The sequence below is a fragment of the Homo sapiens genome, chromosome 7 (assembly GCF_000001405.40).
Source record: "Homo sapiens chromosome 7, GRCh38.p14 Primary Assembly".
NCBI classification, from domain to species: Eukaryota; Metazoa; Chordata; class Mammalia; order Primates; family Hominidae; genus Homo; species Homo sapiens.
Window position 1 is genome coordinate 5,859,435 of NC_000007.14, and position 27,319 is coordinate 5,886,753.

Here is a 27,319-nt window from a genome sequence, read left to right on the forward strand (position 1 = left end):
TTTTGTAGACATGGGGTCTCGCTCTGCTGCTCAGGCTGGTCTCAAACTCCTGGCCGGCAGCAATCCTCCTGCCTCGGCCTCCCAAAGTGCTGGGATTCCAATTGTGAGCCACTGCACCTGGCCAACATGAGAGTTCTTGGGGCTTTGGAACAATTCTCTGAATTCAACTCTGACATCTGTCCCGGGTCATTGAAGCTTTTGGGCGACAACATCTCTTCCTTGATGGTTTTCTTTTTGTTGTTTTTTATTTGTTTTGTTTTTTTTGTTTTGTTTTGTGTCTTTGAGACAGTTTCGTTCTTGTTGTCCAGGCTGGAGTGCAATGGCGTGATCTCAGCTCACTGCAACCTCCGCCTCCCGGGTTCAAGCGATTCTCCTGCCTCAGCCTCGTGAGTAGCTGGGATTACAGGCGCCCGCCTATAATTTTTGTATTTTTACTAGAGACAGGGTTTTACCATGTTGGCCAGGCTGGTCTTGAACTCCTGATCTTAGGTGATCCACCTGCCTTGGCCTCTCAAAGTGCTGGGATTAGAGGTGTGAGCCACCGCGCCCAGCCAGTGTTTTTTTATTGGATGGTTTTTCCTGGGTTCTGAATCTCATGGGGATGTCTGCCCAATACAAGGAGACCCCCCCCACAAAGAGAACCCACATCATGGACAAGTGAAGACAGATAAAAATATGGGACCCTGGAGCGAGAGATGCCAGCTCTCTCATTATGTGGGGTTTAGTTGCAATTTCTCCTTAATTAACTCACTTAAGTCTTCATTAAATGTTGCCTCCAGCTCATCCGTAAGTTGAGACGGAGCCGCTCACATTTCTTGTTCATGAAAAAATCAGCGTCCTATACCATTTTGTTTCTTTTCTGCTATAGCATTTCACACATGCCTAAGCAGTTTGGGGCTCTCCGTATGTGTGTGTGTGTATATATATATGCATATATATATATATATCATTAGGTATATATACGTGTATATATACGTATATATATATTACGTATATATGCGTGTATATATACGTGTATGTATATTATTACGTATATATACGTGTATATATACGTGTATATATATATTACGTATATATACGTGTATATATACGTGTGTATATATATTACGTATATATACGTGTATATATACGTGTGTATATATATTACGTATATATACGTGTATATATACGTGTGTATATATATTACGTATATATACGTGTATATATACGTGTGTATATATATTACGTATATATACGTGTATATATACGTGTGTATATATTATTACGTATATATACGTGTATATATACGTGTATATATTCACGTATATATACACATATATACGTATATATATATTCGTATATATACGTGTATATATACATATATATACACACATACACACATACATATATATACACACACACATATATACACATACATATACATATACATATATATATTTATTTATTTATTGTTGTTCCTGCTGAAAAAGTGAAACATTGATTTAGTGACCACAGAGTTGGCCAGAGAGCAAAAACAGCAAGAACAGGTTTTGGGTGAAAACTGCTGGAGAACTTCTTGGCAAGAAGTCCTCAAATGGGGTAGCCTGGAGGTGGCTCGCTAATGCTGACACCAAATGTGTGTGCCACAGGTGGTGGTGGTTATAGTTGTTGCTGGTTTTTAGCAGGATGGGAGGGAGATGTGCTTTAAGAATCCCAGTTCTGGCCGAGTGCAGTGCGGTGGCTCACGCCTGTAATCCCAGCACTTTGAGAGGCTGAAGTAGGCAGATCACCTGAGGTCAGGAGTTCGAGACCAGCCTGGCCAACACGGTGAAACCCCATCTCTACTAAAAATACAAAATTAGCCGGGCTTGGTGCTGCGTGCCTGTAATCCCAGCTACTTGGGAGGCTGAGGCAAGAAAATGGCTTGAACCCAGGAGGCGGAGGTTGAAGTGAGCTGAGATCGCACCATTGCACTCCAGCCTGGGCAACAAGAACGAAATTCTGTCTTAAAAAAAAAAAAAGAATCCCAGTTCTTGGGGAGGAAGTTGGAATAGAACCAGTTGGGTCATGTGATAGACACTTCCACTGTGTTTTCCAAAGGAAATTTACATTCAGGAAGGAAAACATGTTGAAGAGCGGAAGGAGAGCCAAGAGAGTTGCTCAGTACTTGGGTAATGCATTTCTTATTCAGAGGAAAGTGAGTTTAGCAGGGAAGGAGGGTTCCAGTTCCTCTCTCACCAGTGCTTGGCATGGGTCAGCCCTCCTCATTTTGGACATTTTCATTAATGTGTATTGGCATCTCATTGTGGTTTTATTTATTTATTTATTTATAATTTGTTGTTGTTGTTAGAGACAGGGTCTCACTATGTTGCCCAGGCTGGTCTCAAACCCCTGGGCTCAAGTGATCCTACCGCCTCGGCCTCCCAAAGCATTGAAATTGCAAGCATCAGCCACCACACTCGGCCTACTTTTTAATTTAAAAAAATTTTTTTAGAGACAGGGTCTTGCTATGTTACCCAGGCTAGAGTACAGTGGCTGTTCACAGGCACGAACATTGCACACTACAGCCTCAAACTCCTGAGCTCAAGTGATCCTCCTGCGTCAGCCTCCTGAGTGGGTGGAACTGCAGGCGTGTGCCCCTGGGCCCTCACAGTGGCTTTAATCTGCATTCTCTAATGATGAATAACGTTAAGCATCTTTTCATGTGCTCGTTTGCCATCCATACTGAAAGTTCGTTTTAAAGACAGGATCCATACACCAGCATGTTTGTATTGTGAAAGAAGGTAAATTCTCAGGACCCCAAACTCACTATGCCAAAGAGAAAGTCAAGCTTGGAAACTGAGTCATGCAATACTGCCTTCCCTTTTGTTCCCAAATGGAGAGCTGTATTTTCATAACCCCATGTTCTAGCCTCATGCATAAGCCAGGTGCCCACCAAGACAGAACGTTACGTATCTTCCCAGATGGCTCCCTCACAAGTTGCTCACAAAGTGAGCCCCTAATTCTTTCAGGATACATCTCCCCCTATAAACTAGCCCTAAAAGCAAGTTCTGTTAAATCTCACACTGACAATGTCGATTACCAGCTTATTTTCACATGGATAGGACAAGGACAAGATCGTAAATCATCCTTCCACCTACCCTGAGATAAATGCAGCATGGCCCTATTCCCCTACTCCCTCTTTTCATGTTTACTTTATGTTATGTAAAATGCAGATTTACTGAGCTCAAGATGAATGCAGCATAAACTCTTTACTCCCTCTTTTCACGTTTATCTTATGTAAAATGTGGATTCACTGGGCTTAGGATGAATGCATCACAGACTCTACTCCTTTTCAAGTTTACTTTATCTTGCGTAAAATGTAGATCTACTGAGCTCAAGATGAATGCATCATGGACTCCTCTACTCTTTTCACATGTTTATCCTATGTAAAATGTGGATTTACTGAGCTCAAGATGAATGCATCATGGACTCTTTACTCCCTCTTTTCATGTTTATCTTATGTAAAATGTAGATTTACTGGGCTTGAGATGAATGCAACATGGACTCCTCTACTCCCTCTTTTCATACGTTTATCTTATGTAAAATGTAGATTTACTGAGCTCAAGATGAATGCATCATGGACTCTTTACTCCTTTTTTCACATATTTACTTTACCTTATGTAAAATGTAGATTTCCTGAGCTGGAGAGGAATGCCTCATTGACATGTAAAATGTAGATTTATTGATCGCTAATCAGAGCCTTGGGAGAATGGGACCATTTGCCTCTCTGCCTACCCTCCCTTCCTTTATCCCTCCTGCTTGCTCTTTCCCCTTTAAATAGTGAAGTTCCCAAACCCTCTTTGGAAACTCACAGGTCACAGATGCTCCTGTGGCTGATGTTCCTCCCGGGCGTGTCCTCAAACTGCTGCATCAACCTCAGTCAATGGGGACTCATGACTCATTCCCTTTTTCGGTTAATATTATGTTAATGGGAAAGATCTATTAGGGAGAGAGAAATTGATGGCACAGGAGAGGGAAGAGGGAGTACGTGGAGTGACGTGCTTGAGAGGGTGGCAGGAATGGAATCCAGTTTAGATGGCTGAGGGGCTGGCTTTAGATAGGATGTGGATGGTTCATTTTTTTTTTTTTTTTCTCAAGATGGAGTCTTGCTCTGTCACCCAGGCTGGAGTGCAATGACATGATCTCAGCTCACTGCAACCTCCACCTCCTGGGTTCAAGCGATTCTCCTGCATCAGCCTTCCAGGTAGCTGGGATTACAGGTGCGCACCACCACGCCCAGCTAATTTTTTGTATTTTTAGTAGAGATGGGGTTTCACCATGTTGGCCATGCTGGTCTCAAACTCCTGACCTCATGATCTGCCTGACTCGGCGTCGCAAAGTGCTGGAATTACAGGCGTGAGCCACTGTACCCGGCCTGATGGTTCATGTTATAGCTAAGGCAGGAAGGCAGAGTGAGTGGATGCAGAGGCTGGGAGAGGGCCGATGTTGTCTAGGGAACCTGGGGACACTCTCCTCTGGTCGTTAGTATTTTCTCAGTTAAGGAGAAGGCAAGGTCATCTGCTGAGGATGAAGACATGTTGGGGTTTGAGAAGGAGATCAGGAATGCAAGAATGATCTGGGGAACAAGGGGGGCAAAGAGGGGGCCAGGTGCTGTGGCTCACACCTGAAATCCCGGCACTTTAGGAGGCTGAGGCAGGAGGGTCGCTTGAGCCCATGAGTGCAAGACCAGCCTGGGCAACATGATGAGATCCCGTCTCTACAAAAAATAAAGCATTAGCCAGGCATGGTGGTGCATGCCTGTGGTCCCAGCTCCTGGTTGGGGGGGATGCTATGGTAGGGGAAATCACTTGAGCCCAGGAGGTTGAGGCTGCGGTGAGCTGTGATCGCACCACTGCACTCCAGCCTGGGTGACAGGGGGAGACCTTGTCTCAAAAAAAAAAAAAAAGGAAGAATGACCTTCACGGTGTTCTAAAAAGCAGTGGCTTCCAGTTCAGAAGGGGTTTGCTGCCCTCTGTCTAATGAGTTGGGGTTCTCTTTTCTCCTCCACGTTCTAGGGTTTTGATGCCTCTTAGCGTCACCATCTCTCATTTGGGGAGCAATTATGAATCGTTAGTAAAAGCTCAACTTTTTTAAGATGCAAAACCAGCAAGAAAATTCAGCATGTCCTGGTTTTCTAGACGGCATCCTCAAAGACCACACCCAGGCACTTAATAATTAAGCCTTTTGGGCAAAGTTCTCATTAGAATAAATCAAATAGGCCGGGCACCGTGGCTCACACCTGTAATCCCAGCACTTTGGGAGGCCAAGCCAGGCGGATCACCTGAGGTTGGGAGTTTGAGACCAGCAACCCCATCTCTACTAAAAATACAAAATTAGCCGGGCGTGGTGGTGCGTGCCTGCAATCCCAGCTACTTGAGAAACTGAGGCAGGAGAATTGCTTGAACCCGGGAGGCGGAGGTTGCAGTGAGCCGACATCGCACCATTACACTCCAGCCTGGGCAACAAGAGTGAAACTCCCTCTCAAAAAAAAAAAGAACTAGGGAAATAGAGTGTGATTTCCTGGCAGGAATTTTGACTGGCATGAGACATTTGACTTGAAAGACCTGTGGAAGACAGCGGGCAGCAGCTGTAGTTTGATACCATCGGATATGACCTGGGATTCCCATTAACCAAATTTGTTGTCATCATGACCCAGTCACCCGATCCAGTCACCCTGAGCCCCACTGCAACTGCTTCAGGTGTTTCCTGGCCAGCGTCGGGGCCGACGAGTAGTGTGATTTGCAAATGCCTGCATTATTCATGTTTTTGATCTATTCTAATGAGAACTTTGCCCAAAAGGCTAAATTATTAAGCGCCTGGGTGTGGTCTTTGAGGATGCCGTCTAGAAAACCAGGACATGCTGAATTTTCTTCCTGGTTTTGCTTCTTAAAAAAGTTGAGCTTTTACTAACGATTCATAATTGCTCCCCAAATGAGAGATGGTGACGCTAAGAGGCATCAAAACCCTAGAAAGTGGAGGAGAAAGAGAACCCCAACTCATTAGACAGAGGGCAGCAAACCGCTTCTGAACTGGAAGCCACTGCTTTTTAGAACACCGTGAAGGTCATTTATGGTGGCCATCCCATTCCCATAGCTTGTCAGCCAAGGTGTTTTTTTATTAGGCTGGTGCAAAAGTTATAATTGCAAAATTATATTACAGTTGCAATAATGCAAAAACCACAATAACTTTTGCACCAACCTAATTAATGAACATGAATCACCTCTAGCGATGGGAGAACACTAAATTCAGGAAATGAAACATGCTCAGCTGCGACCTGGAAGTCCCAGAGAACTGTCCTGGGCTTGGGCAACACATACCCTGTGCATTTAGAGACAGTGAGTTTAACTGTGCATTTAATACATAGGTAACAACAATACTGAAATCTTTTGTTCTTTTATTCATTTTCGGAAAAGAAAATGCATATACACATCTAGATGTAGGTCAAATATGCCGCACTCTTGATAATAACAGAGTTGTCTTCATTTGGATAAAGATTTTAATCACTTCAGTCCCATAATTTCAGGGCAGTTTAAGGGCTATTCATGAATAGCATAGGTATTTGTACAAAAGTCCAGTATTTTTCTGCTGGGTGCACTGGCTCGTGCCTGCAATCCTAGTGTCTGGGGAGGCTGAAGGAGGAGGATTACTTGAGGCTAGGAGCTGAACACCAGCCTGGGCAACATAGCAAAACCCCAGTCTCTACAAAAAAAAAAAATTTAATTAGCTGGTTCTGGTGGTGTGTGCCTGTAGTCCCAGGTACTTTAGAGGTTGAGGTGAGAAGGAGCCATTGAGCCCAGGAGTTCAAGGTGACACTGAGCTATGAGTGTGCCACTGCACTCCAGCCTGGGCAACAGAGTGAGATGAAGGACAGAAGGAAGGAGTGGGGGGGAGAGGGAGGGAGGAAAGGAGGAAGGGAGGGAGGAAAGGAGGAAGAGAGGAAGGAAAGAAGGAAGGGGGGGAGAGAAGGAGGGAGGGGGAAGACAAGGAGGGAAGAAGGAAGGGAGGGAGGGAGGGAAGAAGAAAGAAAAGGAAGTTAGGAAAGGAGGGAGGGAGGGAAGGAAGGATGTTGAATTTCCTGCCTCCTTGATAGGATGGGAGGGATTGGAGTGAAAATTTCGTTGACTTATTATATTAAAAAACCAAATGTGTTGTTTGATTTTCTGACATCTGACCTGTGTACTGAGAATTTAAACTCACTCAACTCCCAGTAATAACTGCTAAAACCATTTGGGTGAATTTCTCTGTAGTCTTTTACTGATATGTGGTGGATACATATTGTGTCAATTTAGCAAAACTGGGACTGCATTTCCTAAATTTCCCCTCCCTGTCTAGTTCCAGTTTATTGTGAGCAAGAAGACATATCTGTGGAGGGTGGAGGTTGGCACTGGTTACCATGTAACCCGCTCCCACAATTGTGTAAGGTCCAGTCCCTATAACCGCCGTCCTGTGTCTATAAATATATATTTTCCAATTTACAAAATACATTTAACGTAGTGCCTGTTTCACTTTACAATATGTGGTGGATATTTTTCCATATCATTAAGTAGACTTGTAGACTATCCTTTTATTTTTTATGGCCCATCAATTAACAAATCCCTGCACATTGGACGTTGAGGTGATTTCCAATTGCTAAGAGAAGCAAAATCTTTGTGTCCATCCACAATAGTTTGTTTGTTCATTTTCCTTGCAGTTCTTTAAAAAAAATTCCTCCTTGCCTTCTGGCCTGCATTGTTTCTGATCAGAAGTCTGATGTCACTCGGTGCAGTGGCGTGCACCTGTAATCCCACCTACTCAGGAGGATCGCTTGGGCCCAGGAGTTCAAGACAAGCCTGGGCAACATAGCAAGACCCCATCTCAAAAAAAAAGAAGAGAAGTCTGATGTCAATCTTTTCTTTGTTCCTCTGAACATATTGTGTCTCTTTTTTCTGGCTGCCTTTATGACCTTCATCTTCTCTTTATCACTGGTTTTAAACAATTTTATAATAATGCGCCCTTTATACGTGTTGGCTCTTCCTCCTCCTCCTTTTTCCTCCTCTTATTTTTTCTGGAGGTTCATTGAGCTTCTTGAGCCTGCTTTCATCCAATGTGGAAAATTTTCTGCCATTATTTCTTCAAATATTTTTCTGGTCCCTCCTCTTTCTCCTTTTCTCTGAGACTCCAATTACATGTATATTAGGCCACTTGAAGTTGTCCAGTAGCTCACTGATGTCTGGTTTTATTTCTTCCAGAATTGTTTCTCTCTGTGTTTCAGCTTGTATCTTTTCTATTGTGATGTGGGGGTGTTTGGGAGGGGACTGGTTCTGTTTTGGGGGGTTGTTTTTTCTAAGATGGGGTCTTGCTATGTTGCCCAGGCTGGAGTGCAGTGGCACAATCTTGGTTCACTGCAGCCTTGACCTCCTGGGCCCAGGTGATCCTCCCCGGTAGCTGGGACCACCACACCTGGCTACTTTTTAAAATTTTTTTGTAGAGATGGGGTTCCACCATGTTGTCCAGGCTGGTCTCAAACTCCTGAGCTCTAGTGATCCACCCACCTCAGCCTCCCCAAGTTCTGGGATTACAGGAGTGAGCCACCGCACCCGGCATCTTTTCCATTGCTATGTTTTCAAACTCATTACTCTTTTTTTCTTCGGTGTCTAATTTGCTAATCCCATCCAGTGTATTTTTCTTCTCTAGCTTCACTGTGTTTTGTTGTCGCTATTGTTTTGTTTTGTTTTTTTGGAGACAGGGCCTACCAAGGCTGGAATGCAGTGGCAAGATCACAGCTCACTACAACCTCAACCACCTGGGCTCAAGCGATTCTCCTGCCTCAACCTCCTGAGTAGCTGGAGTCACAGGCATGCACCACCACACCCAGGAGAACTTTTTAATTTTTGTAGAGATGGGGGTCTCACTATGTTGCTCAGGCTGGTCTTGAACTCCTGGCCTCAAATGGTCTCCCACATTGGCCTCCCAAAGTGCTGGGATTACAGGTGTGAGCCACCGCGCCCGGCCACTCCCATCTTTATTTCAGCCTTTTCTTCCCCCAACAATGCTCTAGTGAGCTCACGAAGACACAGCCAGCCAAAGGTCTAAAGGGATTTTGCCATCAGTTTCACTGAGTAATTTAGAGCAAGTGTCTAAGAGTGAGGGGGAAAAAAGACATAGCCAGTAGTCTCTCAGATAATTTTAAGGAATTGTCCTCTCCTGCAGCATTTCAATAAGAAATGATGTAGCTTCTGTCTTCCTTTGAGGGTCAGTTAGAAGGCACTGGGAACGTGAAGTCTGACACCCATAACAGCTCTGGGCTACCCAGAAAGTCAGACCAGTACTCATGCTACTGAGTCCAGGCCGAGCACGGTGGCTGATGCCTATAATCCCAGCACTTTGGGAGGCCAAGTCAGGTGGATCACCTGAGGTCAGGAGTTCGAAACCAGCCTGGCTAACATGGTGAAACCCTGTGTCTACTAAAAATACAAAACTTAGCCAGGCATAGTGGTGTCCGCCTGTAATCCCAGCTACTTGGGAGGCTGAGATGGGAGAATTGCTTGTACCCGGGAGGCAGAGGTTGCAGTGAGCTGAGATCGCGCCATTGTACTCCAGCCTGGGCAACAGAGTGAGACTCTGTCTCAAAAACAAACAAAACAAAACAAAACAAAAAGGACTGAGTCCAAAGTTCCACATAGCTAGGCTGACTTCATACCATTGGTATTCTGAATACAGTACTGACAGAAAGCTTCAGGAATAAAAGAGAGAAGAGAGGAACTCAGGAAGCATGAGTGTTCCCCACGAGGGGGTGCCAGGCCCTCCTAGACACACCTGTGAACATACCCCTTCCCCAAGGCCATTGGCAGCTGGAGTCTTAAAATATTTCCTGCAGCTCTGGCTGGGCACGGTGGCTCATGGCTGTAATCCCAGCACTTTGGGAGGCCGAGGCAGGTGGATCACTTGAGGTCAGGAGGTCGAGACCAGCCTGACCAACATGGTGAAACCCTGTCTCTACTGAAAATACAAAAATTATCCAGGCATGGTGGTGTGTGCCTGTAGTCCCCGCTACTCAGGAGGGTGAGACAGAAGAATCACTTGAACCCAGGAGGTGGAGGTTGCAGTGAGCCGAGATGGCACCACTGCACTCCAGCCATGGCAACAGAGATTCCATCTAAAAAAGAAAATTTAAAAATTTAAAAAATATATTTCCTGCAGCACTGTATCCTCCCCTATGATCTCATTCCCACCTGCACCCTTCTCCAGTCCCCTCCTACCTGCTCCCACCTGCGTTACCCCAGAACAGCTTCTTCTGCACTACCCAGCAACAACTCACCGCCCTGCCCATAATCCGCACGTGCTTGCCCTGGCAGCCTCATCCTAACCTCTCGGAAGCACTCAACTTGCCGGGTCCATCCTTCCTTCTTGAAGCATTCATACCCTTGCTCCCGCCCCTGACATTGGCTGACCCAGGACAAGAGCACAGAGGCCCACGCGCCACGTGTGTGAATTGCAAGTGAAACTGACAAGCGGTTAAATACAGTATGTTTGCGCCATCCTCCAGCCTTGACAAGAGTATTCTCATAGCAACAAAACCATAGCTGTGACATCTTTGCTTTGTTTTCTTCGTTATTATATATTTTGGGCAGAGGAGTAGGCTGACATTTGCAGAATCATTTTTTATTTTATTTTATTTTATTATTTTATAATAAATAATAAAAGCTCTGTCACCCAGGCTGGAGTGCAGTGGTATGATCATGGCTCACTGCAGCCTTGATCTCCCAGGCTGAAGCCATCCATCCTCCCACCTCAGGCTCCTGAATAGCTGGGACCACAGGCTCGTACCACCCCGCCTGGCTAATTTTTAAATTTTTTTGTAGCGATAGAGTCCCACTATGTTGCCCAATCTGGTCTCAAACCCCTGGGCTCAAGCCATCCTCCCTGCCTCAGCCTCCCAAAGTGCCAGGATTACAGGCGTGAGCCACTGCCCTCAGCCTTTGCAGAATTCTTTATGCATTCTCATAGCATCCTGTCCATTGGCTGGGGCCAGAACAAGTCCTTATTCATAATTTCTTCTCACTGGGGTTCTGTGCTCTGTGTCTTACAAAATAAGCCATTACTCCAGGCCGTGTAGGAAAAGCAGGGAACCAGAGATTTCAGCACACATCTGAAGGCTGGTACATTCTGGCCATCTAATCTCTGAAATGTAGTTTATCTTCATCTGTAAAATAGGAGCATCAATAGCTGCCTTAATGTTCTGAGCAGTGAGGTATCTTGTGGAAAATGTTTGCTGCTTTGCTGAGTACAGAAGTGCTTGACATGTCAGCACAGAGGTTTAACACATGTTAGCATAAGTATGCAGTCTTGGCCAATGTTTAATCTGGGCACCCCATGGCCCACTCAAATTGACATACAAAATTAACTGTCACAACTACCACATGAAATTCTTGTAAATATCACGCTAATTGATGAGTATCTTTTTTTTTTTAGACTGAGTTTCGCTCTTGTTGCCCAGGCTGGAGTGCAATGGCATGATCTCAGCTCACCGCAACCTCCACCTTCCGGGTTCAAGTGATTCTCCCGCCTCAGCCTCCTCGCCAGTAGCTGGGATAACAGTCATGGTGATCCACAAATTAAAATGCCCAGAAAGCCAGGCGCAGTGGCTCACACCTGTAATCCCAGCAGTTTGGGAGGCCAAAGCGGGAGGATGGCTTGAGCCCAGGCATTTGAGACCAGCCTGGGCAACATAGTGAGAGCCCCCCCCCCGTCTCTACAAAAAATAAAATAAATTAGCTGGGTATGGCGGCGTGTGCCCATAGTCACAGCTACTTGGGAGGCTGAGGTGGGAGGATCACTTGAGCCCAGGAGGCAGAGGCTGCAGTGAGCCATGATTGAACCACAGCACTCAAGCCTGGGTGACAGAGTGAGTCCTTGTCTCAAAAAAAAAAAAAAAAATTAAAGAGGTAGGGGTCTCACTCTGTTGCCTAGGCTGGTCTTAAACTCCTGGCTTCAAGGCAAACCTCCCAAAGTGCTGAGATTATAGGCTTGAGCCATCTCACCCTGCCTGACCTGGGATATCTCTCCCTTTTTCATCACGGGGATAATAATATTTCAGAGTTGTTGCCATGGTTAAATGACACGACATCATATTCGTGAACTGGGCAATGTTGCACACACCTGTTGTGAGCAGGGCAGGCTTCATGGGTGTGAGACCTGTAGTCTTCAGGGTCCTGCACTTAGAAAGCCTGCACACTTGATTGCATCCACTGAGGCCCCCATAGTGAAATTCTTTGAACAAGAGGACTTGGATTTCCTTTTTTCTTTCTTTTTTTTTTTAGGGGTGGGGTCTTACTATGTTGCCCAGGCTGGAGTGCAGTGGCTATTCACAAGCATAATCCCACTACTGATCAGCACAGGAGTTTTGACTTGCTCCGTTGCCAGCCTGGGCTGGTTCACCCTCCTTAGGCAACCTGATGGTTCCCTGCACCCAGGAGGTCACCATATTGATGCCAAACTTAGTGGAGACACCCAATCGGCAGAGCGCCCTGCTGCCCAGAGCTCCCGGGTTCAAGCAATCCTCCTGCCTCGGCCTCCCGAGTAGCTGGAACTACAGACACCAGCCACTGCGCCCGGCAGGACTTGCATTTTCACTGCGTACCGGAGCCCACAGATTACGGCGCCAGCGGTAATTAGGGGACTTGTGCCATTTCCACACCTATCGTAGGTCACAAGGGATGCATTTTGCCCTGGCCCGTGGGTAATCAAAGCTGTAAACCCAGGAGAGGTCAGCTCTTATAGACGGGGTCTGTGTGTTCCTGGGGATCCCCCATCCTTGTTATTCATTCATTTCATCGGGAAACACACAAGCTGTCCTTTTCACGCAGCCCTAAGACACTTCACGGTCTTCATTTGTAAACAGCAGTCACTTCGTCTCACGAAGGAGCTTGTCCCAAACCCCTGTGTGTAAACTTATTTAACCAATTATTGCTCAGTCTGTGAGTGGGAAAGGAAATCCACTTGTAGAGAAGTATCTCATTTATAAATAAACATTCTTGTAACTCTGGATCCCACCCCATCCCCCACGTCACCACACAGAGACAGCTGGATGCAGAAACTCAGATTCAGAGAGCCAGTTCATTCAATGCACAAATGTGTTCATTGAATAGTTACCCGGTGACAAGGAATGTGCCAATGAAAGACCGAAGATAAAAATGGATGATGGGGCAAGATGTGCTTTGTTACACAGATGCTAGAAGGCAGCATGCGCGTTAAGAGTCATCACCACTCCCTAATCTCAAGTACCCAGGGACACAAACACTGCCGAAGGCCGCAGGGTCCTCTGCCTAGGAAAACCAGAGACCTTTGTTCACGTGTTTATCTGCTGACCTTCTCTCCACTATTATCCTATGACCCTGCCACATCCCCCTCTCCGAGAAACACCCAAGAATGATCAATAAATACTGAAAATAATAATAATTAAAATGTGAAAAAAAATGGATGATGGGGCTGGGCACGGTGGCTCACACCTGTAATGCCAGCACTTTGGGAGGCCAAGAAGGGAGGATGGCTTGAGCCCAGGAGGTCAAGGCTGCAGTGAACCACAATCGCATCATTGCACTCCAGCTTGCATGACAGAGCCAGACCCTGAATCTACAAAAACTAAATTAAAAAATTAAGGCCAGGCACAGTGGCTCATACCTGTAATCCCAGCATTTTGGGAGGCCGAGGCAGGTGGATTACTTGAGGTCAGGAGTTCAAGACCAGCTTGACCAACATGGTAAAACCCTGTCTCTACTAAAACTACAAAAAATTCGCAGGGTATGGTGGCGCACACCTGTAAATCCAAGCTACTTGGGAGGATGAGGCAGGAGAATCGCTTGAATCTGGGAGGTAGAGGTCGCAGTGAGCCTAGATCTTGCCATTGCACTCCAGACTGGGCAACAAGAGCAAAACTCCATCTCAAAAAAAATTTTTTTTTAATTTAATTTAATTTAAAAATTAGCCTGGGGTGGTGGTACATGCCTGTAGTCCCACCTACTCAGGAGATTGAGGCAGGAGGACTGCTCAAGCCCAGGAGCCTGGATAATTATTTAGTTATTTTCATTTTTTGTAGAGATGGGTTCTTGCCATGTGACCCAGGCTGGTCTCAAACTTCTGGGCTCAAGCAATGCTCCTGCCTCAGCCTCCCAGAATGTTGGGATTACAGGCATGAGCCACCGAGTCCAGCCATCCTTGGGTTTTTTCAAAACCCACCTGGCTAGGTTGGAGGTGACCCCGAGTGGAGAAAGGTTAGGAGGCCACCACAGTTGTTTCCATTCCCAAAAGAGATGCTGGTGGCTTGGGCTAGGGTAGTGACGGTGGCCCATGAAGAGAAGATGAAGTTGAGAGATGTTTAGGAAGTGATGTCTGTTGAGAGAACATGAAAGTGGGTCCACGGTGCTCTCAACTAGCCCATCATGCATGATGGAAGGAGGATCTCCCATACATTCAAGAGTTTTGTCTCCACAAGGGCAGCCAGGCTGGGCGCGGTGGCTCACACCTGTAATCACAGCACTTTGGGAGGCTGAGGGGGGCGGACTACTTGAGGTCAGGAGTTGGAGACCAGCCTGGCCAACATGGTGAAACCCCATCTCTACTAAAAATAAAAAAAAAAAAAAATTAGCCAGTCATGGTGGTGGGCACCTGTAATCCCAGCTACTCGGGAGGCTGAGGCAGAAGAATCTCGTGAACCTCGGAGGTGGAGGTTGCAGTGAGCCGAGATCGCACCACTACATTCCAGCCTGGGTGACAGAGCGAGACTCTGTCTCAAAAAAAAAAAAAAAAAAAAAAAAAAAAAAGATCTATTTCCACATCTTCCTCCTATTCTTTCCTGGGAGCAATTAGGAATTGGTGGCCAAAATAATGAAGACTACTGAATCACTGTTTAAAAATGGTTAATATATACATATACATGATATACATATACATTACATTACATAAATATGCAAATATAAACAACATATCATTATGCATATGCAACATATGTCAGATGCATAGCATGATATGCAACATAAAATACATAATATGAAATTTACCATCTTAATAATTTTCTTTTTTTTTCTTTGGAGAGACAGGGTCTCACTCTGTTAACCAGGCTGGAGTGCAGTGGTGTGATCACAGCTCACTGCAGCCTCAAACTCCTGGGCTTAAGTGATCCTCCCACCTCAGCCTCCCGAGTAGCTGGGACCATAGGTGCACGCAACCATGTCTGGCTAATTTTTTTTATTTTTTGTAGAGACGGGGTAGTGCTTTGTAACCCAGGCTGGTCTCAAACTCCTGGCTTCAAGCAATTTTCACGCCTCAGCCTTCCAAAGCGCTGGGATTGCAGACGTGCACCGCCGCACCCAACCCATCTTAACCCTTTAAAGTTCAGTGGCATTAAATATATTCACATTGTGCAACTGTCACCACCATCCATCTCCAGAACTTTCTCATCTTCCCAATCTGAAACTCTGTCCCCATTAAACACTCACTCCACCCAGCCCTGCTAACCACCATTCTGTCTGTCTCTGTCAATTTGAATATTCTAGGTACCTCATATTACTGGAATTATACAATATCTCTGTGTGAATCTATATCTATATCTATATATATATATATGTATTTTTTTTTTTTTTGAGACGGAGTCTTGCTCTGTCATCCAGGCTGGAATGTAGTGGCACAAACTTGGCTCACTGCAACCTCCACCTCCCGGGTTCAAGCAATTCTCCTGCCCCAGCCTCCCAAGTAGCTGGGATTACAGACACCCACCACCATGCCCAGATAATTTTTTTGTATTTTTAGTAGAGACAGCGTTTCGCCACGTTGGCCAGACTGGTCTCGAACTCCGGACCTCAGGTGATCTGCCCACCTCAGCCTGCCAAAGTGCTGGGATTACAGGTGTAAGCCACGGCGCCCGGCCTGAATCAATATTTGATGCTCAGATTGCACATAATGGAATTCAAGTTATCATCTTAAGCGCCTCATTGATTCAGAAAACATGTTCACTGAATATGTTCTTTTTAAAATTTAAATAAATATAATATTTTTCTACAGAGAATGGGAGTGTCACTACATCACCCTGGCTGGTCTCGAATTCCTGGGCCCAAGCAATCTTCCCATCTCGGCCTCCCAAAGTGCTGGGATTATAGGCATGAGCCACCACTCCTGGCCTGGTCTCTGGTATCTTTATTTTCTATCAGAAAAATAGCATGAACATAAAAAGTATCTTGGTTTAACCCATATGCTACTTGGATTTAAATGAGCAGATTTTTAAAAAATGTTTTATCTCTATGGACAATTGTAAACACTCCCAAAGAAAAAGAAAGGGCTCAGCTAGTTTCTATGGCAACTTAATGTCAGAAACCTAATTCAAAACTCTTAAGACTTATTTTCAGAAACCTTTTTTTTTTTTTTCCTGAGACAAGGTCTCACTGTGTCGCCCAGGCTGGAGTGCAGTGGTGCAATTGTAACTTGCAGCAGCCGTTACTTCCCAGCCTCAATCAATCTTCCCACCTCAGCCTACTGAGCAGCCGGCACCACAGGCATGCGCCACCATGCCTAGCTGATTATTATTATTTTTTTTTCCGAGACAGAGTCTTGCTCTGTCACCCAGGCTGGAGGGCAGTGGCATGATCTCAGCTCACTGCAACCTCCACCTCCCAGGTTCTAAGTGATCCTCCTGACTCAGCCTCCAGAGTAGCTGGGATTACAGGCATGCACCACCACGCCGGGTTAATTTTGTATTTTAGTAGAGACGGAGTTTCACCATGTTGGCCAGGCTGGCCTCGAACTCCTGACCTCAGGTAATCCACGTGCCTCGGCCTCCCAAAGTGCTGGGATTACAGGCGTGCGCCACTGGACCCGGCAGGGGCTGATTTATGATTATTATTTTTTTGTAGAGACAGGGCCTTGTCATGTTGTCCAGGCTAGTCTTAAACTCCTGGGCTCAAGCAATCCTCCCACCTTGGCCTCCCAAAGTGCTGAGATTACAGGCATGAGCCACCACACTCAATCTTCAGAAACTTCTTTAAGGGGCTGGGCGAGGTGATGCTGGTTGGGAATCGTATTTTCAACTTCTTTTTGCTATTTTTATTTATTCATTCATCAAATCACTGCTGAGCGCCTAAATCTAGGTCAGTCCTAGGCTAGGCACTGGGGAATAAAATGTGGATGAGAGGTAGGGTGTCGGCTGGAGGTTTGGTCATTTAAGAGAGGCTGCAGGTATCCCTGAGAGAAACTGTTCACTGACGACACTAGGGCGTATACCATCCTGGTAGGAGAATATATTTGGGGCAAAGTGAAGATGCCCACTGTTTTACCCAGGAAAGAGTCTGAGGTCCTGCTCTAGGTATCCTGAATTGTCTACTTCTTTTTTTTTTTTTTTTTGAGATGGAGTTTTGCTCTTGTGGCCCAGGCCAGAGTGCAATGGTGCGATCTCGGCTCACCGCAACCTCCACCTCCCCAGTTCAAGCGATTCTCCTGCCTCAGCCTCTCAAGTAGCCGAGATTACAGGCATGCGCCACCATGCTCGGCTAATTTTATGTTTTTAGTAGAGACGGGGGTTTCTCCACGTGGGTCAGGCTGGTCTTGAACTCCCAACCTCAGGTGATCTGCCTGCCTCGGCCTCCCAAAGTGCTGGGATTACAGGCGTGAGCCACCACACCCGGCCTGAACTGTCTACTTCTAAGCCACTGTATGTTTCTGATTGCAAGGTGGGATCTATTTTTGCACTTTTTAAAAACTTGAGGCTGGGCACAGTGGCTCATGCCTTAATCCCAGCACTTTGGGAAGCCAAGCAGGGTGGATCACTTGAGTCCAGGAGTTTGAGACCAGCCTGGGCAACATCGTGAGGCCCCCGTTTCTACCAAAAAAATACAAAAAATTAGCCAGGTGTGGTGGTGTGTGCCTATAGTCCCAGCCTCCTGGGAGGCTGAGCTGGGAGGATTGCCTGAGCCCAGGAGGTCAAGGCTGCAGTGAGCCGAGATCACACTACCACATTCCAGCCCGAAGAGCGAAACTCTGTCTCAAAAACAAATAAAAATAAAAATGAAAAACAAACAAATAAAAAACATGAATCCAGCTTTTAAAAAGGAGACCCTAGGCCAGGCCCGGCTGCTCACATCTGTAATCCCAGCACTTTGGGAGGCCGAGGCAGGTGGATCACTTGAGATCAGGAGTTCGAGACCAGCCTGGCCAACATGGTGAAACCCTCATCTCTACTAAAAATGCAAAAATTACCCAGGTGTGGTAGCATGTGCCTGTAATCCCAGCTACTTGGGAGGCTGAGGCAGGAGAATTGCTTGAACCTGGGAGGTGGAGGTTGTAGTGAGCCAAGATCATGCCTCTGCACTCCAGCCTGGGTGACAGAGCAAGACTCCATCTCAAAAAAAAAAAAAAAAAAAAAAAAAGGAGATCCTGACACATGCCACAACATGGATGAAACTTGAGGACATTATACTCAGTGAAATAAGCCAGTCTGAAAAAGACAAATACTATATGATTACACTTATATGATGTCCCTAGATAAAGCAGTCAAACTCTTTTTTTTTTTTGAGGCGGAATCTCGCTCTGTCACCCAGGCTGTAGTGCAGTGACGTGATCTCGGCTCACTGCAACCTCCAACTCCCAGATTCAAGTGATTCTCCTGCCTCAGCCTCCCAAGTAGCTGGGATTACAGGCTACCACGCCCAGCTAATTTTTGTATTTTTAGTAGAGATGGGTTTTCACCACGTTGGTCAGGCTGGTCTCGAACTCCTGACCTCTTGATTTGCCCACCTCGGCCTCCCAAAGTGCTGGGATTACAGGCATGAGCCACTGCGCCCGGCCAGTAGTCAAACTAGTAGAAGCAGAAAGTACAATGATGCTTACCAGGAGCTGGACTAGGTGGGGGAACAGGGCAGTTGTGGCAGCTCAGTGGATACAGAGTTTCCGTTTTTCCAGCTGAATAAATTATAGAGATCTCTCGTTCAATAATGCGCCAAGAGTTAACACTATTGTACTATACATACACTTAAAAATGGTTAAGATTGGCCGGGCGCGGTGGCTCACGCCTGTAATCCCAGCACTTTGGGAGGCCGAGGTGGGCGGATCACGAGGTCAGGAGATCAAGACCATCCTGGCTAACACGGTGAAACCCTGTCTGTACTAAAAAATACAAAAAATTAGCCGGGTGTTGTGGCGGGCGCCTGCAGTCCCAGCTGCTCAGGAGGCTGAGGCAAGAGAATGGCGTGAACCCAGGAGGCGGAGCTTGCAGTGAGCCAAGATCATGTCACTGCACTCCAGCCTGGGCGACAGAATTGAGACTCCATCTCAAAAAACAAAAAAAAAAAATGGTTAAGATTATATACTTTATGGAATGTGGTTTTACCACAATAATTAAAAAGAACAGTCTAGCACAGTGCTGGCCATATAAAGGCTCAATAAATGTTTGCTGAAAGTTAAAAAAAAAAAAAAAAAAAAAAAAGCCAGGCGCAGTGGTTCATTCCTGTAATCCCAGCACTTTAGGAGGATGAGGTGGGAGAATTACTTGAGCCCAGGAGTTCGAGACCAGCCTAGGCAACATGGCAAAACCCTGTCAAAACCCTGTCTCTCCAAAAAATATGCATATTTAAAAAATTAGCCAGGCATGGTGGTGTGTGCCTGTAGTACCAGCTACTCGGGAGACTGAAGTGGGAGGATCGCTTGAGCCTGGGAGGTCAAGGCTGCAATGAGCTGAGATCGTGCCACTGCACTCCAGCCGGGGCAACAGAGCAAGACCCTGTCACAACAGAAACAAAATCTTGAGGTGTCTAGTCCTGGCCTCAGCCTCAGAATATTTGTTTCTGAACATGTTAGTTTTGGGGGTTGGGGATGCTGGTTTGATTTCCTCCTTTTTGCCTTTTGAGTGTGTGCAATTTATGGTATAGCTGGGAAACGTCAAAGTCAAGAGTTTTGTAGGAAAGTCACGTCACTTAGCCCTGTCTCCTGTGCCGGGTGAGACCTGTGTGTGCACTTGGTGACAATGGCTTTGAGTCTGTCAACTCCAGACTGAGGTCAGCCTTACACACCCATAGTTCCCAAAGCTGAAAACAGGCCTGCCTCCAACGGTACCTGCTAATATCAGGGGAGCCTTTTCAGCTTACAGAGCACCCTGTATGTGTTTGTCTTAGTTCAGGCCACCATCTCCACCTTACCAGGCATCTAGAACCTTCTCCACACTTTGCCAACAGGGTTCGTTTGCAGAATTGAAATCTTAGTTAAGGTTTGTTGAAGTTTGTTGTTGTTTTTTTTTTTTTTTTACAATTGGCTGTTCCCACCCACATTCCCTTGAGACATAAATAGAAAAAAAAAAAAAAAGAGGTTTCATGAGTAAGACAAGACATTTGAGCTGCATCCACTTGATCCTTGAAAAGGAAATCTAAGAGGTTGTAACTATCACTTTTTCTAGCCTATATAAGGTAGGTCAGTAAGGTAGCAAAAACACATCTGTTGTTTTGCTCCTTCAACTCTTTTTCCTGATTCTTCCTGGGGGGAAACCGAAAACGGTGAGTAACTGGTGGACACATCAGACCCCAGACTCTTTTCTTCACTGCATGCATTCATATTAGGCTCAGGTGCTTAGACTCCTGTTTTCCGGTGGCTCTGACACCTGGAAGGATTTTAATCTCTGGGAGATGGGCTTTTCATCCATCTGCTTCCCACCTTTCAGGACAGGTGCATGCCTTCTTCCACAGAATGTCTGCAAGCAGCCCAAACTGTATCCTTTCCCACGTGGAATTTGCAACATTGCATCTCTCGGGCTGCTGTAGGAAAATGCCAGTGCATGTGTAACATGGTTTACGGCTGCCTATGCAAATGACTGATTATGTCAGTATAATTTTTATAAGAAAACAATTGAATCCTTCTTTGGGTCATTTTTTTTTTCCATTTTTGGCATGTATTCAAAAGAAGGCTCTGAGACAAAAAAGGCTGGGGTGTTTTCCGTATCTGGTTTTAATTTGGATATTCTGTCCCGTCACTTAATACAAAACCATGCTTATCACATTTTAAAAATTCTAGACAGGCCTGGCTCGGTGGCTTGCATCTGTCATCCCAGCACTTTGTGAGGCCAAGGCAGGCAGATCACCTGAGGTCAGGAGCTCAAGACCAGCCTGGCCAACATGGCAAAACCCCGTCTCTACTAAAAACACAAAAATTAGCCAGGCATGGTAGTGCGCACCTGTAATCCCAGCTACTGGGAAGGCTTAGGCAGGAGAATCACTTGAGCCCAGGAGGCGGAGGTTGCGGTGAGCCGAGATCACGCTCTTGCACTCCAGCCTGGGTGACAGAGTGAGACTCCGTCTTAATTTAAAAAAAAAAATAATCTAGACACACATACAGTTTCAGTGGGCCTGGGAAGATGTGTTTCCCCTGGATGTGCACATTCCTGTTTGTGGCTTATCGCCTCTCATTTATTCTGTGTGAGTAGGTAGAAAATGAGCATCACGGACGTGCTCAGTGCTGACGACATTGCAGCAGCGCTCCAGGAATGCCGAGGTAGAGGGGACGTGAGGCGGGGGTGGGATTTCCTCACAGCTTTGCACCTCCAGCGAGTCAACACAAAATCAAAATGTAGGCCAGGCGGCCAGACGCAGTGGCTCACACCTGTAATCCCAGCACTTTGGGAGGCCGAGGCGGGTGGATCACGAGGTCAGGAGTTCGAGACCAGCCTGGCCAAGATGGTGAAACCCCATCTCTACTAAAAATACAAAAAAATTAACCGGGCGTGGTGGTGGGTGCCTGTAATCCCAGCTACTCGGGAGGCTGAGGCAGAGAATTGCTTGAACCCGGGAGGCAGAAGTTGCAGTGAGCTGAGATCATGCCACTGCACTCCAGCCTGGGCAACAGAGCAAGACTCTGTCTACAAAAAAAAAAAAAAAAAGTAGACCAGGCATGGTGGCTCACATCTGTAATCCCAACACTTTTTGGAGGCCAAGGTGAGAGGACTGTTTGAGCCCAGGAGTTTGAGACCAGCCTGGGCAACATAGGAAGACTCCATCTCTACAACATAACAATAAAAATAAAAACTAGCGGGGCATGGTGGCATGTGCCTGTGGTCCCAGCTACTCTGGAAACTAAGGTAGGAGGATCACTGAAGCCCAGGAGGTTGAGGCTGTGGTGAGCTATGATCGCTACACTGCACTCCAGCTTGGACGACAGAGTGAGACTCTGGCTCTAAATAAATAAATAAATAAATAAATAAGAGGTTGGCTGGAAAATTCATGGAATCAGAGAAGAAAACTGCTATTTATTAGATAACTAAAATTATAGAGATCTGGGATCTGAGCACACGATTACACATCTGTAAGACAAAAGAAACCTACTAAACATGAAAGCAAGACATCACTGAAAGGCCAGGTGTCGTGCTCACACCTGTAATCCCAACACTTTGGGAGGCCGAGGCCGGTGCATCACTTGAGGTCAGGAGTTCAAGACCAACCTGGCCAGCATGGCAAAACCCTGTCTCTATTAAAAATACAAAAATGAGCTGGGCATGGGGGTGCACACCTGTAATCTCAGCTACTTGGGAGGCTGAAGCAGGAGAATCAGTTGAACCCGGGAGGCAGAGGTTGCAGTGAGCCGAGATCACGCCACTGCACTCCAGCCTGGTGACAGAGTGAGACTCTGTCTCAAAAAAAAAAAAAAAAAAAAAAAAAAAAAAAAAAGCGCCAAAGGCCATTTAGCCTGTTGAAATCCAGTGATTGCATTTCCCCCTACCAATTAGACCAGGGATGCTGGGGGCTCAGCCACACAGCCTGTAAAGTGGGCCAGGGGGAGGGGGAGGCACAGAAGAGATGAGGAGGGAAAAGGAAAATGGACAAAACCAAGTGGAGGAGGGAAGACTGGGGCGGAGGGGACATGGGATGCCATCACAGAGCCATCAAGTCTTGGCTGTCCCAAAATCTTGGACCAGTTGAGCATCCCCGTAGCTCAGGGATATTGTTGAAGTGTTTTTAATTATCTGTGTTTTTAGTACCTTGGCCCCAACATAGAATGTGATCCAACAAGCGTCAGAATAACCAATTCTCTGTTCTTCAGACCCAGACACTTTTGAACCCCAAAAATTCTTCCAGACATCAGGCCTCTCCAAGATGTCAGCCAATCAGGTGAAGGATGTTTTCCGGTTCATAGACAACGACCAGAGCGGGTACCTGGATGAAGAAGAGCTTAAGTAAGCTTTGTCCTGAGTCTGTCTGGTACCCGGCACTGCTGAGTGGGCCTGGGGTGCAGTGGGGGCCAGGTTGCTCAGTATTTCTTCAATGGCCAGCCTTGGTGTTGGTCATTCGGCCAAGCATCATTAAAGCAAAGGACATGAGTCAGTTGACCGCACATCTACCCATGCAAAGCCCTCAATATGGGCAGAGAAGACTGCAGGTGCAAAGATTCTTTTTTTTTTTTTTTTTTTTGAGACAGGGCCTCACTCTGTTGCCCAGGCTGGAGTGCAGTGGGGTGATCTCAGCTCCCTGCAGCCTCCGCCTTCCAAATTCAAGTGATTCTCATGCCTCAGTCTCCCAAGTGGCTGGGATTACAGGTGCCTGCCACCACATCCAGCTCATTTTCATATTTAGAGTAGAGATGGGGCTTCACTATGTTGCCAGGCTGGTCTCAAACTCCTGACTTCAAGTGATCCTCCTGCCTTGGCCTCCCAAAGTGCTGGGATTACAGGTGTGAGTCACTGTGCCCAGCCACAAAGATTCTTTCATGTAAGGGATTTCCTTTGGCAAATGGACTTTAAAAAACTAAAAACTTGGCTAAGCGCAGTGGCTCACGCCTGTAATTCCAGCTACTCAGAAGACTGAAGCACAAGAATTGCTTGAAGTCAGGAGGCAGAGGTTGCAGTGAGCCCAGATCGTGCAGCTGCACTCCAGCCTGGGTGACAGAGAGAGACTCTGTCTCAAATAAATAAATAAATAAAAATTAAAAACACTAAAAACTTAAAAATGGGCCAGGCACTGTGGCTCACACCTACAATCCCAGCCCTTTGGGAGGCTGAGGTGGGTGGATTGCTTGAGTGAGCCCAGGGGTTCCAGACCAGTCTGGGGAACATGACAAAACCTTGTCTCTACAAAAAAAAATACAAATGTTAGTGGGGCATGGTGGGGTGCACCTGTAGTCCCAGCTACTCAGGAGGTTGAGGCAGGAGGATTGATTGAGCCCAGGAAGTCGAGGCTGCAGTGAGCCATGATGGTATCACTGCATTCCAGCCTGGGTGACAGAGCAAGACCCTGTCTCAAAAACAAACAAACAAACAAAACCTTAAAAATGAAGTGCCCACCATTGGTTTCTACAGCTTAAGGAAACCTTTGCTTGCTAAGACCTTGGTTAATTATTGCCGGTGCTGGAAACAGGTGATATGCTTAGAGGAAAAACAAAAGTGTAAACACAGAGATGCATGATCTTTTTGAAAATCCCCATGGATCTTTATTATCCTGTAGGTTTTTCCTCCAGAAGTTTGAGAGTGGTGCCAGAGAACTGACCGAGTCAGAAACCAAGTCCTTGATGGCTGCGGCGGATAATGATGGAGATGGGAAAATTGGAGCAGAGGGTATGTCCACACGTGTACGTAGCATAAAACACTCTAGCTCAGGAAGCATCCGTGAGGGCTTGGGCTGTGAGATCAAACCAATGTGGCTTAAAATCTCCCTTTCTTAAACTTACCGAGCCTCAGTCTTCTCATCTGTAAAATGGGACTAAAGTAAGGATGCAAATGATGTGTGTAAAAACCCTGGCATAATGCTCGGTAGGTACTATAGAAGCTGGTCACACTGGTCATTGTCTATGAGCTGCAAAATATCCTTCACCTGACTAGGGGACTAGCTAGCCACCTGGCCAATTATTTGCACCTGCCAACCATAATGCACCTGCATAAAGCGCGAGGTATTTCTACCAGTGGGGTTTGAACCCCTCAGAATAAGGGAAAGATTTACATCCTCAGACCAGGGTCCATTGGCATGCGTAGGAAGCCCTCTTCGTCTTCAAGGGTTTAGACAAATATATTTTATTGGACATTAGCCCGCCAAGGGGATAATATTAAACAGAGAACAAATAAGCCAACCTCATTTATTGAGTCTTCCATAGGCCGAATCCTAGGTTTGAGCTTTAGAATACACTAGCACAGCTGTAGGACTATTTTCACTTGATTTTGTCATGTTGCTAGCGTGCTTTTTAACTGCTTTGTGCCTGCCAACTCAGCAGAACATATGATGGTCCTTCTGGTGGTGCTAATTTGAAATTTAAAACTGCTACGTTAGATGCTTATTAAAAAAAAAAAAACCTGTTCAAAATTATACCACTATCGCTTACTACATGGGAGTTAATGCAGATAGATAGCTCATAAAAACAGATTAGGTAAGGGGGGATTGCCTTATTTAAACATAACCAGGGGCTGGGCGTGGTGGCTCAGGCCTATAATCCCAGCAATTTTGGAGGCCAAGGTGGGCAGATCCCCTGAAGTCGGGAGTTCAAGACTAGACTGACCAACATGGTGAACCCCATCTCTATTGAAAATATAAAAAATTAGCCGGTCATGGTGGTGGGCACCTGTAATCCCAACTACTCGGGAAGCTGAGGCAGGAGAATCGCTTGAACCTGGGAGGCAGAGGTTGCAGGGAGCCAAGATGGCACCATTGCACTCCAGCCTGGGCAACAAGAGTGAAACTCTATCTCAAAAGAAAAAAAAAAACATAACCATGAAGGATTTCCAAATAAACAAAGCTTACCAATAAATATAAAGCAAGTCCCCAGTTTTTTATATCAATCTGTAACATCCATACCTTGTTATTATTACTATTATCCTTCTTTTAGTAACAGAAACGTTTGGAGTTTGGTTCAATGGAGGAAAGTCAGTTCAAAGTCCCACCCTATCAAATATATCCTAAAAATGCAATACCCAGCTACGGAATAGAGAAAGAAAATCTCCCCTTCCTGTCTGAAATTGACCAGACAAAAAGTTAAATGTTCACAGATGGTCACAGGTAATTCCACTGAATTCATGCATTATCAGGGAGAAATGATAGGCTTGACAAGTTCTAATTCAAAGACCTCTATTGCAAAGCTGAAGATGTTTGTTAAATAAGATTATTCAGAGAAATGGAACCCTGTGAACTTCCTCGAGATATAGTCATTGATACCCAGGGTTTTTTTTTCTTTCTTTCTTTCCTTTTTTTTTTTTTTTGAGTTGGAGTCTGGCTCTCTCGCCCAGGCTAGAGTGCAATGGCGTGATTTCGGCTCACTGCAACCTCCGCCTCCCAGGTTCAAGTGATTCTCCTGCCTCAGCCTCCCAAGTAGCTGGGACTACAGGCACGTGCCACAACGCTGAGCTAAGTTTTGTATTTTTAGTAGAGACAGGGTTTCACCATTTTGGCCAGGATGGTTTCGATCTCATGATGTCATGATCCACCCGCCTCGGCCTCCCAAAGTGCTGGGATTACAGGCATGAGCCACTGTGCCCGGCCAGTTTTTCTTTCTTTTGTGCCCTCCAAGGGGGCCATGCCCATCATCTGACAATTTTCTTTGCTTCCTTCCCTCTTTGGAATTCTCATTGGCCACGGCACGTCTGTAAAGAACCAAGCCACCTCCACTGACCCTGTTCTCACCTCTTCTGTTCTAGAATTCCAGGAAATGGTGCATTCTTAAAAGCCCCAGTCTCTGGAGAAAAGAGAGAAAGGGATAATCACCTGGAAGGATTCCAAAGCCCTGGGAATGGGGAACCCCACATCCCATCCCTACCTAATTTGTTAATTTTCCCTGAAAACCTTCTGCAGTTTGCTCATTGTTTTAGTGAGGTCACGAGGGAGTCACTCCTGACTTTCTTGGTGGTGGGTATATGCCCTGACAACTTCTGTAAGCCCCCCTTCCCCCAACAGGCAATGCCTCTAAAAATCACCCAATAAAGACAGGCTTCTCATCATCTGCTGATGTGTGGGCGTGTTTTTTCCTCAGCACGACACTCAAGCAAACTGGGACCAAGGGCTTTTTTGTAGGATTTCTGGTCCCATCAAGCTTGGAGCGGGCCACACTGGTGTTATGGTCCAGCAAACAAGGAAATCAGGTTTTGGAGGGTGTTTTTGGTTGTTTCTTTAGAGTCACAAATAAATGCCATTGTCAAGCTATTATTTTTCTCAGCAAATCTTGTGACACTGAAATTAATAGGAAGGGATTTTAGCCAGCATAAAATCACTCTTTTTTTTTTTTTTTTTTTTTTGAGACAGAGTCTCACTCTGTCACCCAGGCTGGAGTGCAGTGGCTCAATCTTGGCTCACTGCAACCTCTGCCTTCCAAGTTCAAGCTATTGTCCCAC

At 45.9% G+C, this 27,319-nt stretch overlaps 1 protein-coding gene and 1 pseudogene across 4 annotated transcripts, besides 1 other annotated feature; one reads left to right on the forward strand and one right to left on the reverse strand.

Annotated features, from left to right (window-relative positions):
- The first annotated feature begins 283 nt into the window (after window positions 1-283).
- On the forward strand, window positions 284-26,929 carry OCM (oncomodulin). 4 transcript variants are annotated; one of them, NM_001391990.1, is made up of 5 exons: window positions 284-386; window positions 21,449-21,516; window positions 23,059-23,191; window positions 24,456-24,565; window positions 26,630-26,929. In NM_001391990.1, the coding sequence occupies exons 2-5, from the start codon at window positions 21,456-21,458 to the stop codon at window positions 26,653-26,655; spliced, it is 330 nt and encodes a 109-aa protein (NP_001378919.1). In that variant the 5' UTR covers window positions 284-386; window positions 21,449-21,455; the 3' UTR covers window positions 26,656-26,929. The 4 variants fall into 4 exon arrangements, with proteins under 4 accessions (NP_001378919.1, NP_001378920.1, NP_001091091.1 ...); NM_001391991.1 differs by lacking the exon at window positions 21,449-21,516; NM_001097622.2 differs by lacking the exon at window positions 284-386 and having other exon boundaries at window positions 21,364-21,516.
- Window positions 9,664-9,958: a silencer, noted in NCBI's record as "tiled region #1711; K562 Repressive non-DNase unmatched - State 13:Ctcf". NCBI's record gives its function as "represses a minimal TATA promoter and a strong SV40 promoter by Sharpr-MPRA in K562 cells {active_cell/tissue: K562}" and the evidence as "EXISTENCE:reporter gene assay evidence [ECO:0000049][PMID:27701403]".
- Window positions 12,325-12,616, reverse strand: RN7SL556P (RNA, 7SL, cytoplasmic 556, pseudogene; annotated as a pseudogene).
- Window positions 26,930-27,319: the final 390 nt, after the last annotated feature.

Bases quoted from the DNA above. Each gene is read 5' to 3' on its own strand.
- OCM (NM_001391990.1), top strand. From the start codon at position 21,456: ATGAGCATCACGGACGTGCTCAGTGCTGACGACATTGCAGCAGCGCTC. The intron at 21,517-23,058 runs GTAGAGGGGACG...TCTGTTCTTCAG, and splicing joins AGCGCTCCAGGAATGCCGAG to ACCCAGACACTTTTGAACCC. The intron at 24,566-26,629 runs GTATGTCCACAC...CTTCTGTTCTAG, and splicing joins TGGGAAAATTGGAGCAGAGG to AATTCCAGGAAATGGTGCAT.